The 20,258-nt window shown below is 34.1% G+C and overlaps 1 protein-coding gene across 8 annotated transcripts in view, besides 1 other annotated feature; it reads right to left on the bottom strand.

The window, feature by feature from the left end:
- Positions 1-20,258, bottom strand: part of DACH2 (dachshund family transcription factor 2) — a 684,152-nt gene that overhangs the window by 562,341 nt on the left and 101,553 nt on the right. Inside the window, exon 1 of one of the 8 annotated variants that reach the window (NM_001139515.1) lies at positions 7,251-7,294. The exons of the other annotated variants lie outside the window; for them this stretch is intronic. The gene's annotated coding sequence lies outside the window, so the exon portion shown is untranslated. Of the gene's footprint in view, positions 1-7,250; positions 7,295-20,258 lie in introns of those variants that run through there. 8 annotated transcript variants of the gene reach the window in all.
- Positions 6,171-6,948: an enhancer, noted in NCBI's record as "OCT4-NANOG hESC enhancer chrX:85518317-85519094 (GRCh37/hg19 assembly coordinates)". NCBI's record gives its function as "activates a minimal SCP1, AML or CMV promoter by ChIP-STARR-seq in naive and primed H9 embryonic stem cells {active_cell/tissue: H9 hESC(naive and primed)}" and the evidence as "EXISTENCE:reporter gene assay evidence [ECO:0000049][PMID:30033119]".

Here is a 20,258-nt window from a genome sequence, read left to right as displayed (position 1 = left end):
AGAGTATTTGATTGGGAATCAGAAGAACTAGGTTCTGATATCCATCTTCAAAGCTCGGCAGGTCACTCAACTTTACTCTGACCAAAACACATCCATTTGGAAATGTGGATTTCTACAATCTGCATGTATCCCCACCCCCAAGCCAAGCCAACCCAGTGGAAGAATCATCTGAATGACAAAATACATGTAAAAGGTGGTAAACTCTTTAGGAAAAAAAAAAAATATATATATATATATAATATATATATATATAATTAAAACATGAATCTTATCTTAGTTTGTTTCCTGCTTTGAGGAGTGGGTGAAGAATTGTTTTATATTCACTTTTCTGAAAGCCTTATACTTTGAACCACTCATCTTATTAGCTGAAAAATGTTATCCTTGTTGACAATAATAGTGAATATATAAAACCAAACAGCAAAGCCCTAAAAGCCTCAGAGTACTTTTTAACACAAAATGACAAATCTCAAAGAACCTCATTAGAGACCAAAAATAGGTTCTAACATGTCATTTCTATGTAATATTTGTTTCATTGTAGTATACTTCTAAATTTCAGTCCTGCCTTTGGTAAATAATGTACCTAGTCAATTGTTGAGTTCTGTATATCTCTTCTTCAGAAAATTTCCTCCCTGCCCTTAAAGAACAGCATATTCTGTTAAGTGTGAAATTTGATTACCTGTATTATCAGATCTTGCACTTTTAAAAATTGTTATACTTCTGTCTGAGTCACTAAAATATGTGCCAGTGGACTGTCCCTTTATGTGGTGTGTAGAATTTAGCTGTTAAAAGCTCAAGCCAAATATGTTAGTAGGCCAAAGCGCTTTCAGCAACATTTATAGAGTAAGTCCTCAAAGTTGTCATCAACAGGTTCTTAGAAAGTTCGAAAATGTGGTACATATACACAAAGGAGTTCTATCCAGCCACAAAAAAATAAAGAGATTCTGTCATTTGCAACAACACGGGATAATACTGGAGGTCACTATGCTAAATGAAATAAGCCAGGCACAGAAAGATAAACATTGCAAACATCACATGTTCTAACTTAGTTGTGGGATTTAAAAATCAAAACAATTGATCTCATGAACATAGAGAGTATGCTGGTTACCAGAGGCTGAGAAGGGTAGTTGGGGGGTGGGGAGGGGTAGATAGGGATGTTTCATAGGTACAAAAAAATAGTTAGAAAGAATGAATAACATCTAGTATTTGATAGCACAACAGGGTGACTATAGTCAATAGTAACTTAATTGTACATTTTAAAATAACTGAAAGAGGGTAACTGGACTGTAACACAAAGGATAAATTCTTGAGGGGATGGATACTCCATTTTATAAGATGTGATTATTATAGATCGCATGCCTGTATCAAAACATCTCATGTACCCCATAAATATATACACCTACTATGTAACCACAAAAATTAAAATAAATTGTCCAGGCTCGGTGAGTCACACTTGTAATCCCACCACTTTGGGAGGTCTAGGCAAGCAGATCGCTTGAGGTCAGGAGTTTGAGACCAGCCTGGCCAACATGGCGAAACCCTGTCTCTACTAAAAATACAAAAATTAGCTGGGCGTGGTGGTGCCTCCTGTAATCCCAGCTACTCGGGAGAGTGAGGCACGAGAATCGCTTGCACCCTGGAGGCAGGGATTGCCGTGAGCTGAGATCTCACCACTGCACTCCAGCCTAGGTGAGAGAGCAAGACTCCATCTCAAATAAAATAAAATAAAATAAAATAAAATAAAATAAAATAAAATAAAATAAAATAAAATAAATGTTTTAAATGAATGAAAAAAATTTTTGAAAAGATTCACTTTTGATTTCCCATGTGGCATTGGTTAAATTGCTTTGCTTTTTTGTGCTTCATCTGAAAAATGGAGATGATGGTAGTGCCTAGCTCAAAATTTGTTGTGAGGCTTAAATGAGTTAATATGTACAAAGCAGTTAGAAGAGTTCCTGGCACATAGTAAGCACTCAATGAACGTTAACTATTATTTACTATGATTACTTTTTCTCAAAGAACACAAGGAATTTGAGTCTCTTATTTTTTCATTATATGAATTAAACAATGAAGGAAGCCTGTTATATTATGGCCCTTTGGCACATAATAAAATGAATTTAACCCAGCTCTTTTCACACGCAAAGTTGAAATCACTAAACTTCTTGAAAGAAATTTTTTGCTTAGGTTTTCTAGTGATCTTTTTTCTTTCCTGACAATTTTTCTCATCTACTGCTGTTCTCCCAATTACAAACACATAGACATAAAACAATTAGCACATAGTGTCAGAATTTTTGGTGTCAGAATTTTTTGATGTCAGAATTTAGCTAGGCAGACTGATGTTTATGCCATTTATGTAAGGAGAAGTTCTTTTATCTATATTACCCATGCAGCCAATGTATAGTGAGATTTAGGTCTATAGAATGGAACTATAACATTTAATATCAGCAAATGGGGTGGGGGGACACTAAGCCTAAGCCAGGAATGATTTTAAAACATGCAGACAATGAAGCATGAATAATTTCTATTTGTCACATTACTGTGATTACTTTCCTACAGTATTAATAGTATAAGAATCATAGAATATTATGGCTAAGAGGGAACTTAAAACCATTGATGCTGACCACATCGTTTTACAAATGAGGGAACTGAGGGCTCTAAAAGATTAAATGAACTGACCAAAGACACACAGCCTGCTGGCCCATGCAAAGACCTACAAATCCATCTTTGAGAGACATTTAAATCATTAGTGTTTATACTAAGTACTGATTTTCAAGAAACTAAAGATAACATGAATGAAAAAGTTCAGGACAAATCAATAGCTTTTGAAATTTCCAGATTTTGAATTTTCAGATTTTGTGTGTAAAATCTCCCAAACATAAAATTCCATAAACACAAAATATATATTTAAATAATCAAGACCATCCTCAAATGCTTATTCATATTTATATAGATTGTTATATTCACAGATTTCTATATGAACATTTGTCTCAATATAGGAGCTTCCAATAAATAAGGTTATGCTCACTGATCTCTATTTTCTAGCACTTAAGGAATATTTCTTAACATTTGGATATTAAATATTCAGATAATTGCATACGTGTACATCTGTACACAGAAGACTTCATCCACAGTAATGATGACATATTCATTTCAACTATTACAAATCAACAGCATAGCTAGTCATTGGTGTAAACTCATGATCATTTGTCAATTTAAAGATAATCAAATAATTTGATTAAATTGATTTAAATCTGGCTTCAAACATTGAGAAAATATAATTTCAAAAGTATTCTGACATGCATCAGTATGATGATTTCAGACCATCTGAATTATTTTTTATCCATAATATATATTAACTATCAAAGACAACAGTTCAATATTCTATAAAAACATTTAAAAAAGATAAATGTACATAATTAACAAATAGTAACTGATAGTTACATGGCACTGCTATGGAGCAGTAACATGTTTTATACACTTCTAATGTGTAGTACAACTTATTTTTCATAACTCCACAAGGAAGGGACCATATAACATGTTAAGAAAACTGAGGTCCAGAGAAGTTAAGTAACATGCCCAAAGTCACAATCATAGTCAATTGCAAAGGTAATACTCAAAACCGGGCAGTCTGGTTCAAGAACCCACACTATTAACTATTAGATTATGCTGCCTCCAAATCAAGCTACAAATTTGCATGCAATATGTTGCATGAAACTTTGCATGAAGACACGGAATAGACAAAACTATATACTTTGACAGTATCAGTTGCCACTATCTTATAATGTTTTTAGAACGTCAGTTTTGCAGTGGCCTTCAAAATTATGCAAGTCTAATTTCTTCATTCTACAGATAAGGAAACTAAAGCTCAGGGACTTATTGTTTTAAATCATTTTGTTGACTACGGTTGTATGACACCCGTGTTTCCAGCACAGTTCAGGTAAATTGAATATGAAAGTGAAATATAATAGATTGATTCTAAAACAGTGTTTCTCTGTGTGGTCTCTGGACAAGCAGCATGGACATCACCTGGGAACTTGTTAGAAATCCAAAGTCTCAGTCCTATCCCACACCTAGCAAATCAGAAACTTAGGGGGTGGGGCCCAGCAATCTGTGTTTTAACAAACCCTTGAGGGGATTCTGAGGCATGATAAAGGTTGAAAACCACTGTTTTTTCTCTAAATTCAAGTTCTAGTTATGAACAAGTTCATTTTGTTGGTTGAAATCCCTTCAGTTTTACATGCAGAGTAAAAAAGTAGCCTTTTCACCTACTCCTAAAGACACAAATCATATATACACATACACACACACATACACACATGCACATACGTATTATCTACATTACACACATAAATAACATGATCATACCTATAACTAATAATACTGTCTACATAATACACATAAACAGATGTGATGTTATTTATGTGTATTTTATAGATAGCTCTGCCATCTCCCAGGCACGTGTCCATTCTAATCACCACCCTTGCCTCCCTTTTTGAAGAAATCTCTCCTCCACAAAAGTTTCACCTTAAGACAATAAAATATATCTCTTTTTTCCTGTGATCTCAGAATCTGTGGAATATGCTTTAACAGGCACCAACTCTTTCACAAGATGCAAGAAGAAATAGAGAGGCACAATTAGTATTCTCTGATTTTATAGTATGTGCAAATATTCAAAATGTTTATTCAAAGATAATGTATGCCCACCAGATTTCCTTTATTCAAATAGTACTTCCTGAAAAACTAAAATATAAAGTTTCTGGGACTATGATTCGAGGAGAAATGAAAAAGAAAAGCTAATCACTAAAGAATAAAAATAAATAATGTTTTCTGTTTTTTAAAACTTTCACCCTTTACCTGTGCTCTGTAAGAATTGGTCAGCACTGAAAGGGGAAAAAAAAGTGGTAACAAGCCTTTTAGAATACAAAGGGTGACATTGGTCTTTTAGGAATATAATATAATGTGTACTATTGGAAGTAAATAAATATGTTTCCTTAAGAGAAGATCACTTACACTCTAGGAAGACTGGGAGAATCTTGTTTTGCCACTCATCTGTCCCGCAATAATATCAACGATATGTATTCATTTATAAAAAGAACAGCTTCTATTAAACCATAGAAGTACAAGGAACTGCCATATCCACTCTTCATAGTATGCACTGATTTTCTGTATATTTCAATGCTGAGCTTATGGTTAGACCTTTTAAGATGGCTTTGAATCTAATGGCCACGGAGATTACGAACCCCTCCCAACTACCCATGCATCTTTAGGACTGGAGATGTTAATTACAGTCCTCTGGTTCTCCTACCCCTAGGTTTGTACTTCAGCAAAAATGATAAAGGATGTTTCCCACAGAGACCTGAGAACTTGGGAATTATTTTTCTTGAATCTAAAAGAAATCAATTGATTGGCCTTCACAGTGAGGGGCAAGTCTATATAGCATAGTGCCATGAGCTGTGAAAAAGGAGCCTAAGCCCATCAGTTCTTTCATAACACGACCAGGCCTCTCTTTCAATAATACTATTTATAATACAAAAATAGAAGTATTGGGAAAGATTTTGCCTTTTCACACAAACAGACACATGTAGTAAGTAACAGTGTTGGTTCAATTGTAAGACAACAGTTTCGTAACATCTTTAGGTTTTTAAAAGGTCATGAGATTGAACTACCCATTTAACCTGGATTGGGCAGAACTAGTAAAGATATCAGGCTTTTAGTATAAAGGATACAACCCTACAGTTTCACAGATACAAATTTTGAATATCTTTATACTATCTAATAAAAATGAGTTTGCAAAAATTATTAAACATGTAAATAAACTGGTAATTGAGCTGGCTTAGCTGAGAGAAAAGGCTACTTAAAAACTTTCGCACAATAAGTGTATGCAAATATGTGTTCATTAAAATAGTCTCTGACAGCCGCCAGAAAAGAGCAATTCAAGCTACTAAATGTACATGAAAAATTATAACTTTAAAAAATATCCTGTCAAACTTTTCATTAATTCAGAATGTTCTCTCCCAAGTGCAAGTTAGTAATTTGATTTTACCTTTTTTTCCTACAAATTTGCTAGTTTTGCTCAACCCTCTAGATGAATCCAGTTTTGCAAGTTGCTTGCAATAACTAATTCAGAGAAATATTTTAAGCATACACTATACATAAATTATATACAGAAAATCATTTTCTTTTCATGTAGCTAAAAAGCAATGTAGAAGAAGATTCCTTAGGTTTTTAAAAATATTATTCAACTACCTATGACTGCTTTATAAAATTATACTAAGCTTGGCATGTAACTAACAATCAATTGCCTCTTGAATTTTATATCCAAAAGATCTAAAGGAGATGGAAGTTTTAGGGAAATGAGGGAAGAAAATAAAGTTCTCTTTATCCAGTCTTAAAGAGGTATACCTAATTGTTTTCTGCATGCCTTAAAAAAGGTCCCAGTCTGGGTTTCTACCTGATGTAAGCCCATTTGATTTGTACTTAGTGAATAGTCATGGGTGATCATGGGTGAGAGAAGTAAACTCTTAGATTCACACAGAGAAGAACAGCACAGACAATGGCATCCTGCTGGCAGCCTGGAAGGAAGCTAAACATTCTTATTCAGTGACATCCCCAAAGTCAAGACACCATTTTTAAAAGCAGCTTGAACTGTCACAAAAAGGGTTTCTCTTTTACACATTTTATTTCTGACCTTTTTCTTTAAAAAGAAAAACCTTAATATTCAATTTATTCAATTAAATTCAAGAAAAAACAATAATTGCATTAAAATTCAATTAAATTCAAGAAAAAACACATCCACTCCCACCCATGTTGTTAATCTACTTGTTGTTAATCTACTTGATGTCTCCAACCTGAACTCACACATATGGTGCATTTAATCTAAATAAATCTAAATAAATGCAAAATTTAAATAATTAGTATAAAATACTCCTGCAATGCTATTCTTCTAATGCCGTTTTTTAAAGCTATGTTACATAAGTTAAATAAAGCCCATTTTAAAGGCATTGGCTACTTAGGTGATAAACATAAGCAGTAAATTCACTTTCCTAAATTGCCCCATATATTATATTTAATCCTCCTTCTGCAATCACCAGCACTGAAGTATACATTCATAGCTGCTTTCTTTTGACATGGTTCTTTTATTACTGTCTCTTTTCCTTACATAATGTCCTGCAGCAGCTGGTCTATTATTATGATGCTTTTTTCTCCTTTTTCTTTAGCGGTTTTGCTAGCACAAAGAATTAAAATGTACTTACCTTCCACTGCTTTGGCTGCAACTAAGAGTGCTTTGGGTGCATATGTCTGGGAATGGGATGGGGGTTGTTTTAATGTGGAGGGAGACTGAGATTGTTTGTTTCTTTCTATTTCTGAACAGTGACATATTGATATTTCTGATAATAAATCATTCCAATTTGTTCATCCCTGCAACCAATGGTTTTAATTTTCATGTACATGTTGCAAAGTCCATTTTGTTAGAAGCATTTGATAAAATACTCAATTACCATTTTTTCCACTGTAGTTCAACTGCTTTGCTGATAAAAGGCTCCAGCTCAGAAGATAAACTGTAAGTAATTCCTGAAGAACAAATGTCAGAGGCGGTATACAATGAATGGCATTTTTTTTTTTGGAGCAGATTATTCTATCACCAATGTGACAGGGTGGTTCAAATATTTATTTTGTTGAAAATGTCATTTAAATATTGTTTGACACCTGCTCCCTATAGTCATCTGCTCATCACATTTCAATTTCAAGGGATTTAAAAGTGAGATTTAACTCTATGTCCAGCAAGAAAAGAGAAACTCATCTACAAACCAAGATAAGAATACACTGCTGATATATGCAAATTATTTAAATAAATGGAAATGCAATTGATTCAGTTTTGTGGATCTATATGGGAGAAGAATATGTAAGTTTCAGCACCCTCTCCTGTCCTTAGCTTTCAAGTGTTTATTTTTTTGTTTGTTTGTTTTGTTTTGTTTTGAGACAGGGTCTCCCTCTATTGCCCAGGCTGGAGTGCAGTGGCAGGATCATGGCTCATGGAAGCCTCAGATTCCTGGGATCAAGCAATACTCTGCCTCAGCCTCCCGAGGAGCTGGAACTACAGAGGCATGCCACCGGGCCCAGCTAGTGTGTGTTTTTTTTTTTCTTTTATAGAGATGGGATCTTGCCATGTTGAACAGGCCTGTTTTGAACTCCTGGCCTCAAGCAATCCTCTCACCTCAGCATCCCAAAGTGCTGGGATTACTGGTATGAGCCACTGTGCCTGGCCTCAAGTGTTTATTTTTGACACCACATTTGAAATTTGGCCAGAAATGAACCTACCTGTTCATTCATTAAATTGTCTTTTTCTAGGTAATCTACTGTTGAAAATAATCACTTCACTCACCCTACTTCAATTTCCCTCCATATGCAAGCTCTAGGTGGTATTAATCATTGGCTGAAAAGACAGCTTACAGTGCAGAAGGCTATAATAAGCTAACTTTTATTAATGGGAAGGAGCTTATTTTATTGACCTCTATTTGCTCAACTTGGAAAGTTCCTATTAGGTGCTCAGCAAGTGGGGATGGTTATAATTTCAAGTATGGGCCCCAGAATGAAATGTACTCCACTAAGCATTTTTCTTCCTAGAAATTCCTCTTCATTTTCCACTCCCAGTCAATCATTTTTGGCAGTTTTAAGTCCATTACATTTTTTGCTGTGAATTTTAAATGGTTAGAAGATGTCTCCACATAAAATCAAGCCTTTATCCCTGCCTCACTCTTTGGAAAGCCACAAGGCAGTAGAAAATGGAGTCAAGAAGGAAAAGATAAAGAGAAAAAGGATAAGAGCCATCAGGTGAAGAAGAACCAAAGAACTGGCTTTGAAATTTTCTGTTTGCTTTACTACCAATTGTTTTGGTGCTATGACTTTATTTTTCACTAAATCTCCCTGCATTATATCATTAGATTACCTCAGGGATCCAACGCATGTCATGTATTTGCATACTACCTTCACTGCAAACGTGTTTTAATCTTTCTAGTAAAATTATAAGAAACTGCTCCATTCAAGAAAAATGCTGAGACACCACTGAGTAAAGAAGTGTGAAAATTGTGAAGATTTATTCACCAGTCATTTAACTCTTTAGCTCCTAGAACTTTTCTGAAGCACTTGGGAGCTCTGAACATGTGAAATAGCTGGATTTGAATCACTGACAAAAGGCAATGCAGGCAATTGAAGTAATCAACTCTGTCTACTTAATTAAAATTGCTAAAATTACTGGAAGCATCATTTAGACTGGGCAACGTTAAGTAAGAGTTGAACAAATGTTGCCAAGGCTTAAGATGGAACATCCTGGATTAGACCTTCCAATTTTACTTTTTGGGATACTTTAGGTGCCTCTGCAAACACATTAACTCCATCCCTTAATAGGAGACACCATGATGTGAAAGAAAAGGTAACTCCTTGGAGCCAGACCCATCTGAGTTCCAATCCTTACAAAATTGTCTCCAGAGCAAGCCATGTATCCTCCCAGAGGCTCAGATTTTGCATCTGCAAAAATGGATTTAATCATGCCCTATTGAGGGGTATATAAGGATTAAATGAGATCTTTGGATTTTGTAAAAGGACTTGGCAAGTATGTAAAAGGACTTGGAATTAAGTAGGGATTAAACAAACGCATATTGAACAGATTTATTAAATTAAACTTACAGTTCCTGGGTTTTTGGTATGATTTCCAGCCACTAGAATTTAAGTTAAAAAATTCTGCTTCTTGCAGTAATTGCTAACTCTAGTGGCTTGAAAAAGTACATAGGTAATACAAAGATGTCCCCAAAGTACTTTACCTATTCGGAGAACCCAGCTCAGTGACCTGTGAAAGTAATCCACAGTCCTTGCTGAGAATTAGTGGGTTTTACATTTGTATCTTTACATAGAGGAGGTTCTTGAGAGTATCAGAATTGTAGGGCATGATCTTCTCAAGAAGAAAATAAGGTCAATCTCCCAGCACTAAGTTAAGTATTCTCCACAATAACTGCTGTTGACATTTAAAGGGGCAACATGAAGTCAGTTTGAGGACCACAAGTTGCTTCAGGAATATTACTGTATCTAGTAAGTTTTATCCGGTTTAAACTTATGGATTAAATCCATAAGTTAATTAATCATATGTTTGATATTGCAAAAAAAGAGTATAGACAGCATTTACCTATCTTGAATAGATTTTTTTGAAATATCTTGAAAGCAGACCTATGTCCACTACAAACTTGAGAGGTTTTCGTTTCATTACATAACATAGCCTATTTTAATCATTCAGAGATACTGATATTTCTAAAAAAAAATAAGCAGTAAGAAAATCTCCTTATTGCAGTCTATGTTTGGCATTGCATCAATATGGCCAAGAATATCTAATAAATCTACATAGATAATGGATAAGAGGATTTTTAAAATATGACGGCACCTGTCATGAGGAAACAAGGCCAATTAATAGAAGTCAGCTAAAAAAGATTTGTTTAAAGCTTCTCAAAGTTTAACTTAAGTTTTATCCAGTCTTAAAAACATATTATGATCCTCAACTTCAAGTCACTTCAATTGAACAAACATTTTAGTTCCTACTATGTGCAAGACACTATGCTAGCGGGTTAATTTATCTCCTCCCCTACTCTTAGAATTATCAGATGTAATCCTTTTAAAAATCAATTATTACTTTTCACTTGCCACTTGGAGAGTATTAAAGGTAATGAATCATTGTGTTTCCAAATCTTTCTTATTTTCCCCTCAACACCCTGTAGTTCAATATAGACACCATTACTTCTCTGCTACTATAGTGATTCCTTTTGTCATGCCTGAAACAACTACAGGACAGACATTAAATGCAATCTATATCCCCATAAATCATTGAATAAACGAATCATGGAATTAATATGTAAATTGTGTGTTTAACCTCTATTTATACAGCACTGTCTGTCACCATGTTGTAAATCTAAAACTAATTGCAAATTCACAACTCTGCAAAAAGAACACTAAGGAAAAAGCTTGACATATTTATTAACTAAATGTTGAACTACATTGAGTAAGTAATTAACAGTCATGCCAGAACAGGGAGAGAAAATTATATTTAAGCACAGATGTCACCTGCATGAAATGGCTAAAACTATTTTAGATTAGATTTTGATATTAATCAAAGAATATTGCTATTTAATTTTTGACAGGCAAATCTGTTTCCATTTATTCATGTTTCCATTAAGCATTTCATTTTTAAATGTTCATGTTACAATCATCCATTTGTCTCCTTAAAGAAAAGGAAAGAATCCCAAAAGGTTACATGACAATAAACCTACTCAAAAGTTAACCAAAGTCTCCTCAACTCAGCACATTAGTAACATTTTATATTTGACATATGGCTAAATATTTTAAAATAGACAATTTCTACATGTATTTTTATGATGTACCTAATAACACTATTTAAATATTTAATGGGTCTTGTCACCACTAACATGGGTACCTTCTGAAAGATTATTTCATTCCTAAAGAACAAGTTGTTCAAAGAACACAACTTTGAAGTTAAAGATGGCAAATAAATATATATACTGGAAAATGTATTAAACTAAGTATTCCTATCCTTTCATGAATCTAGATCATTAGTTTTAAGAACACAGTCTCACGGCTAGCTTCTATATTTCTAACGTGAGTTTCTATTAAGATACCAGATTTAAAAAGCATAACGCATAATTTCACTATAGGAAATGGTATGAAAATACAATAGATAATAATCTTGATTGTAATGAAAAATAATCACTTATTTCAGTTGATATTGCACGTGCAGATGAGAGGCAAAATGACCCTTAGCCTCTGACTTCCCTAGCTAATTTAATCTGCCTCACTGGTCACATTTACAAAGGGTAAAAAAGAAAAGAAAAGATTTTAAATTTAACTAATGAAAACTGTGTCCCAGAGTTTTACATGTCAGTAAACATTGTGTGCTTTCAATTTCCTCACATCTGGGAAGTTTAGAATGTGCCTGAATACTTTCAAAAAACCTAACCTGCAAAGCCAAGCTTAAAAAATGAACAACTTTCTGATTTAAAAAATTTAAAAAGAATTGTATGATGGTGAGGAAATCAATACTCGATTCTTTATTCTGAAAAATATTTTTTTTCCAATATGCCAAAATGTCATTAGTACTCAACCATCCCTATGGATGGTTTATAGTGAGCTATCCACATTCTCTTGCCTGATTGTCCTAATAACCAATGACATGTGTTCTTAAAGGAGCAGACTGGAATTAGTATATTGCATATCTGTGAGGCAGAATTTGTCTGAGTTTAAGGCTATCTAGACCCTATCCGATCTGTATCCATATCTGTGGTGATTCTAACCAAACTAACTAGAGCAAATTCCACCATCCCAAGAATCCTGAATAGAAAAGAAAGAGAAAGCATCTTAGCTGACCATATCAAACAAAAGCAGAAAAAATAAAACCATAATGACAATATTTTTATATAGTTATTGTCATTAGAATTAATTAGACTGCAATAATCAGGCATTTTTTTTCCTTTGCTTCTTATATATTAAGAGCAAGAGTTGTAGGCCAGGTGTGGTGGCTCACGCCTGTAATCCTAGCACTTTAGCAAGCCTAGGTGGGAGGATCTCTTGACCCCAGGAGTTGGAGACCAGCCTGGGAAATATAGTAAAACCCCATCTCTACAAAAGCACAAAAAATTAAACGAGCATGGTGGCATGGGCCTGTGGCCCTAACTACTCAGGAGGCTGAGGCAGGAGGATGGCTTGAGCCCAGGAGCTGGAGGCTGCAGTGAACCAAGATCACACCTGTCTCCAAAAAAAAAAAGAAATTGGTTCAATATATCTCACTCCCTTTTCCATATGATCTGTCAGCTAGATCCAATGACAGAAATAATTGAAGGGATGTAAGTGGAAGAAAGAGGAAGACCATTTCTTAGAGGAAATATCAAGACACCCCAAAAGTAGGTTACATGCAATAAGGCACATAAAGAGTTTAGCACATTGCCTAGAGCATAATAAGAGCCTAATAAATGTTAAATACGATGACAAAAGTGATGATGATTAAGATGATACTAACAACACCTAAAAATACAATCAATACGCCCACCAACACAGTGCTTAAGGATTTTATATAAAGGATCATTACACAGTCATTAAATAGCATATTTCTGAAGATTATTGAAAAATCACAAAAGTATTCATCATACAATGTTAAGTGAAAAAAAGATGCAGAAATGTGTAAAGCTTATGATCCTAATTTTGTTTAAATAAATATGTAGATGTGTGCATAGAGGAAATGAAGAAAGGTAATGCAATACCTTTGGATTATGTGAATATAGGGGATTAATATTTGACTTTACACAAATTCCCAAATGTTTTCTAACTTATATTTTACTTTTATAAGAAGAATATACACACACACAAAATGAGGTGGAGATCTAATCTCTAAACACAAAAATTCTCATACCTTAAATAGGCAGTTCTCAAAGGTTTTGGTCTTAGGACTGTTTTCCATCTTATTTATCAATTCATTAAAAATACAATAATAAAACCATTATCTATTAACATAAATAATACATTTTAAGACAAGGTAACTATTTTTAAAAACAAACAAGCAAAAACAATATTCAGTGACAAGAATGGCACTGTTTTACATTTTTTGTAAATTCAAAAGACAACTGAATTCTCTTCTACGTTCAGTCAGATGCAGTATGTTGTTTTGGTTAAAGTACAGGGAGAAAATTTAGTCTCACGCGCATGTGTACTTGAAAAAGGAGGGACCTATGGAACCATTGAAAGCATCTTAGAGGCCTCTGGGAGTACCCAAGACTGTAGTTTGAGAACTGCTTCCTTAATTCAATGCATTATTTTGTGAGAATATTTTTCTTTTATTATAATTCTCATCTTGGACATCAGTGGCATGTCTCTCTTCAGAAGAAAGTCATGCTTTGCTATTTTGGTCAAAATAGAGTATGTAGAGAAATACCATGCTGCTCTTCAAGAAGTTATAATTTGGTATTTTATTTCTGATTAGTATGTTGATTAATTAATATATAGATCAATTAGTATCTTCACTGATGTTCTATATGTTTCCCTAAAAGAGGTACCTCACTTCACATGATGTGCTTTTTTCCCACTAGTTTTGTTTTTTGTTATATTCTTTTTTTAAAAAAATAAAAATCCCTATGCTTAGTTTGCCCAGTGACACATTTTATGAGCCTAAAGCTGGAGTGCTAGATGGAAAGAAAGAAAAATGTGGTGCTCATTTCCACCTTTGTCAATAATCTTCATGTGGGGGTTTGGGCAGGTTCTTCAATCAACCTGTGGCTAAAATGATAACAAAGTTGTAACCCTGCCCATGTTATAATTTATATATTTTGTTGGAAATTTTTTGTGTTAATTATGTGTGTTTCCTTTAATTTTGTTTATTAAAATGCAATCAGTTTTGCAAACTTCATGATTTATATAGAACTTCACTAATATCATCTTAATGCAATAAAATATTTTTAAAATAATCATCAAAAAGTTATTTTGTTCCCATTTACTTATTTCCAGAAAAAGACAAATATTGGCCACGTAGGTTAACTTAGACTGCTGGGAAGGAAAAGAGAATAACATTTTTCAACTACTTACTACAAACACGGTCGTGTGCTAGGTTCTATTTACATGTCATCTCCCAGTTCACTGATCAGGAGACCTACACTCAAAGAGGGAAAGTATCTTGCCTAATATCGCCTAGTTAGTTATATGTAAGAGCAAGTTGGCCAGAAATCAAAAGCTGGGTTGTACAGGTTTTACTACACACTGCACCTTCTTCTAACCGAATCTCATCCCAGCTCAATATATCTTTCATTCCAAACCAAAAGTGTAAATCTATTAATAGTTCCAATTTAAAAAACAATAAGAACCAAGTTATATCAAGAGACATATAGAACTATTACCATAATTTACCTATTCTGTATGCTAAGATGAGAAGAAATTGCCAAAAGTGAGCATTTTCTTCGCCTCCTGTTTAAAATGGAGATTGGCACTACACTGTCTGTTCTCCCGGGAGATTTACATTAAAGAGAAAAAACTTTTTCCTACTTTTTTGTTTTCATCTTTTCCTTGTCTGTGTCCAACATTTCATTCTCGAAAGGAGAAAGAGCTGCTCATCTCAGTGGCAGGAAAGAACAATCTTCGATTTATAACATGCTAGGATCCCATCACTGTGATAGAGCAATCTTTCCTTTGGACATCTCTCCATTACTGAAGCTGATACCTTCCTACCCTGATGCCACTTCAGTACTGATCTGTCAGTCCCAACAGCAGGGCTAATGGCACCACCTGCCTCTATGTGCATTTTTCAACTTTATCTCAGAAAACTTCTTTTATGGGTTCTTCTTTAAACAAATAGTAAAAATGTACTTTCTGCAATTTTTGTTTTATAAACCTTCTCTCTCTCTCTCTCTCTCTCTCTCTCTCTATATATATATATATATATATATATATTTATTTATTTGAATAACACCCCACACACTTGGCATGATATCCTAGGTCCATTTGCTTTCCCTCTTTCCCTTTCCCTTTCTTATGAGTGCTTCTTCAATTCTTACGAAACACACAAAAAAAAAATAAGTAGACAAGCTTCATTTTCAGAGCACTGCAGAAATAGTGAACCAGGAGATGGTTGAATTACTAACAGGAAGTCACTGAAATAGATGCAAGGATCCTTTAATTAAAGCCTCCTTGCTAGAGCTAAATTTCATTCTTAGCTGTCATTTTTGAATTTGGTACATGACATAAACTAGTTACTGAAATTACTGTTTTAATTGCTTTACACAAAATACTTAAGGGCATACAAAAAAAGAGAAAGAGAGCATCACATGAAAATCTCAAGTTTCTAGAAAGGTAACAAACAAGAAAAAGAAAATATTAATAAACAGTAACCCATGTTTAGGCAGCCAGCAACAATTCTGAAGATTTTATTTGCCTTACTATGAAGTAGGCATAAGAATATTAAAGTGACACTGTTACATCTCTGTAGGATGATCTTTAATACATGGTCAAATTTATCTAAACAAAACATATTAGAAATTGTTAGCCAATTGTCAGAACTCCAATTTCCCTATGATCTAAAATGTAAATGCCACATGCAAAGAATATATTTTGATTAAAGCTGATCATCTAACAAGAAGTTTGATGTTCCCATTATACCCAAGGATTGTTTCTGGAGCTGATTCTTTTTAACTTAATATTCACTGATTGATAATATCCATAGAAAACTTTTAGAAACCCAATACATCTTACAAAAATATTTATGAAGATTTAATAGATTTTTCTATAAATATTAGAAGCTTATCAACCAATGTGTCAAAAATTACAAATAATATAATTTGCAAATATCTGTGTCACTTCCTTTCTGGCATCATTGCCCTGATACAGTAAGCATAAAGAATCCAACCAGATGTCTGGGTAACTTATAGGGTCTTATAGATGTTGCCTTTCCTTATTCTTCTCTTACATCCCAGAGTTTCCTGGTTTTCAAAATCCATCTGGTTCTTAAACCAATGATGACTGCAAACACAGGGTAAGGCAAAAATAATTTTTCAGACACAAATAACACATTCTTCTGGGAGTCACACGTTATACCAAGCTCCCCTAGAATTTCTGACCTGAAGACATAAAAATCATTATTTAGGCCTTCTGTCAAAAATGGTTTAGAACTTTGTATGCTGGAGCTATTTAGATGGCAAATCTGAATCTCACTAGTCTTGTTGAAGGTTTTCAAAAATTGTTAAATTTGCACATCAACATGCAAAAAGGCAATACGTATTGATAACTTGAGCAATAGCAAAATAATAGAAGGGAATTTGGGAAGCAGCTTTTAAGAGGTGATAAGATTGTCAACGGGAAATGCATTGAATTTGTAGATTGCTTTTGACAGTATGGTCATTTTCACAATGTTGATTCTACCCACCCATGAGCATTGAATGTGTTTCCATTTGTTTGTGTCGTCTATGATTTCTTTCAGCACTGTTTTGTAGTTTTCCTTGTAGAGGGCTTTCCCCTCCTTGGTTAGGTATATTCCTATGTAGTTTTTTTTTAATTTATTTTTTTGCAGCTATTGTAAAAGGGGTTGAGTTATTGATCTGATTCTCAGCTTGGTCACTGTTGGTGTATAGCAGAACTACTGATTTGCTTACATTAATTTTGTATCCTGAAACTTTGCTGAATTTATTTATCAGTTCTAGGGGCCTTTTGGAGGAGTCTTTAAAGTTTTCTATGCATATAATCATATCATCTGCAAACAGTGACAGTTGCACTTTCTCTTTCCCGATTTGGATGCCCTTTATTTCTTTCTCTTGTCTGATTGCTCTGACTAGGACTTCCAATACTATGTTGAATAGAAGTAATAAAAGAACTAGAGAAAACAATCCTAAAATTCATACAGAAACAAAAAAGAGCTCACATAGCCAAACCAAGACTAAGCAAAAAGAACAAAGCTGGAGGCATCACATTATCTGACTTCAAACTATACTATAAGGCCATATTCACCGAAACAGCATAGTACTGGTAGAAAAATAGACACATAGACTAATGGAACAAAATAGAGAAGCCAGAAATAAACCCAAATACTTACAGCCAACTGATCTTCGACAGAGCAAACAAAAACATAAAGTGGGGAAAGGACACCCTATTCAACAAATGTTGCTGGGATAATTGGCAAGCCACATGTAGGAGAATGAAATTGCATCCTCATCTCTCAACTTACACAAAAACCAACTCAAGATCGATCAAGAACTTAAATTTAAGACCTAAGCCTATAAAAATTATAGAAGATAAAATCAGAAAAACCATTTTAGACACTGTCTCAGGCAAAGACTTCATGGTCAAGAACTCAAAAGCAAATGCAACAAAAACAAAGATAAATATATGGGACTTAATTAGACTAAGGAGCTTCTGCATAGCAAAAGAAGCAGTCAGCAGAATAAACAGACAACTCAGAGAGTGGGAGAAAATCTTCACAATCTATACGTCCAGCAAAGGACTAATATCCAGAATTTACAAGGAACTCAAACAAATTAGCAAGAAAAAAAAATCAATCACATCAAAAAGAGGGCTAAGGGTATGCATAGACAGTTCTCAAAAGAAGATATACAAATGGCCAACAAACATGTGAAAAAAATGGTCAACGTCACTAATTATCAGGGAAATGCAAATCAAAACCACAATGTGATACCACCTTACTCCTGCAAGAGTGGCCACAATAAAAAAATAAATAATAAATAGATATTGGCATGGACGCAGTGAAAAGGAAACACTTCTATGCTGCTGATGGGAATGTAAACTAGTAAAATCATTATGGAGAACAGTGCGAAGATTCCTTAAAGAACTAAAAGTAGAACTACCATTTGACCCAGCAATTCCACTACTGGGTACCCATCCAGAGGAAAATAAGTCATTATACGAAAAAGATACTTGTACACGCATGTTTATAGCAGCACAATTCGCAACTGCAAAAATATGGAACCAGCCCAAATGCCCATCAATCAACGAGTGGATAAAGACAATGTGGTATACATATATACGATGGAACACTACTCAGTCATAAATAGTAACAAATTAATGGCATTTGCAGCAACCTGCATGGAACTGGAGACTATTATTCTAACGGAAGTAACTCAGGAATGGAAAACCAAACATCGTATGTTCTCACTCATAATTGGAAGCTAACCTATGAAGATGCAAAGGCATAAGAATGATACAATGGACTTTGGGGACTCGGGGGAAAGGGTGAGAGAGTGGTGAGGGATAAAATACTACAAACTGGGTTCAGTGTATACTGCTTGGGTGATGGGTGCACCAAAATCTCAGAAATCACCATTAAAGAACTTACTCATGTAACCAAATACCACCTGTTCCCCAAAAACCTATGGAAATAAAAATTTAAAACGATTGTCAATGAAATAACAGAGAAGATTCCAAACAGACTAAAGTATTTCTTCATTTAATGAAACTTAGAAGAAATTTGCTGCTTTTACAACTTTGATATCGCCATGAAACCATGGAGATTTCTTAGACCATCTCCAAGCCTCATTTAATGTATCTCTATTTTTAACGGACAACTATGCTTTACATACTTTTAATAACATTTTTATGCTCAGGGAAGGTGTGGACAAATTGTACTACTGGAAAGACAATGCAAGTAAGTATCTGATGCCTACAGCATCTATAAAAGTTAGGGGTCAGGATACCTACAGGCACACCTACCTTTTTGAAACTGGAAACCTCAATTGCAGCTCCAGAAAGTTAATCACCTGATTGAAAGGTAGGCTGAACTTTATTTTATCTTAGAATTAAGACAACAGCAGTGAGATTTTTACAATAACAATGTTATAATCAATGCTGTAGCCTCAGTTGTTAATGCTCCACTTACCTTTAAAAGCAGATGTAACAACCCAGAAAGAACAATATTATAAATTCTTTATCTGGTGTTAAATTACTGTGGATTCATTGAATTATTATATTGCAGAGTCTTATCAGCAACATTAACTTAAAAACCAAATGAATGTTATTTGAAATGATATATCCTAATTTCCCCACTCTTAGAACTTTGTAGTTACCTTTAAACACTGTTTATAATAAGAATGTATAGCACTCAGAAAACATTTCCAAAATGTGTAATGACTTCAAATGAAGAAAATATGAAAATATGTAAAATCACTTTAAAATAGTACAAAGTGGCATAAAATATGCAGTATTATTAACAATTGTTTTTATAACTCCAGTTGATTTTTTGTGTATCCATATAACAATATTGATTTATTGGCCAAGAATGAAGCAATACTCTGAACTAGAAATACCTGTAATAGGCACATATTGAAATTCCTATTATACCAAAATAATAGACTCTCAGTTCTCAAATATACCCTGCCAGTGCATATAAAATGACCACATTGACAACATTTTAATGGTTTACCTTTGATAATCTCAAATCTTCCCAATTACGTTAATTCCTTGGCCAAGGATGGGAAGAATAGATGGCACAGTATTCACAGTGAGTTTTTCTTTTCTTTCCAACTTTTATTTTAGGTTCACGAAGTACATGTGCAAGTTTGTTACATGGGTAAATTGTGGAATGCAGGGGTTTGGTGTACAGATTATTTCATCACGCAGGTAATAAGCATACTACCTGATAGGTAATTTTTTATTCCTCACCCTCCTCCCTCCCTCCACCATCAGGTAGGCCCAGGTGTCTGTTGTTTCCTTCTTTGTGTCCATATGTA

This window comes from Homo sapiens, chromosome X, assembly GCF_000001405.40.
Source record: "Homo sapiens chromosome X, GRCh38.p14 Primary Assembly".
In the NCBI taxonomy this organism is placed as follows: domain Eukaryota; kingdom Metazoa; phylum Chordata; class Mammalia; order Primates; family Hominidae; genus Homo; species Homo sapiens.
The sequence above is the reverse complement of the archived record's forward strand: the minus strand, read 5'-3'. Positions and strand labels throughout refer to the sequence as shown.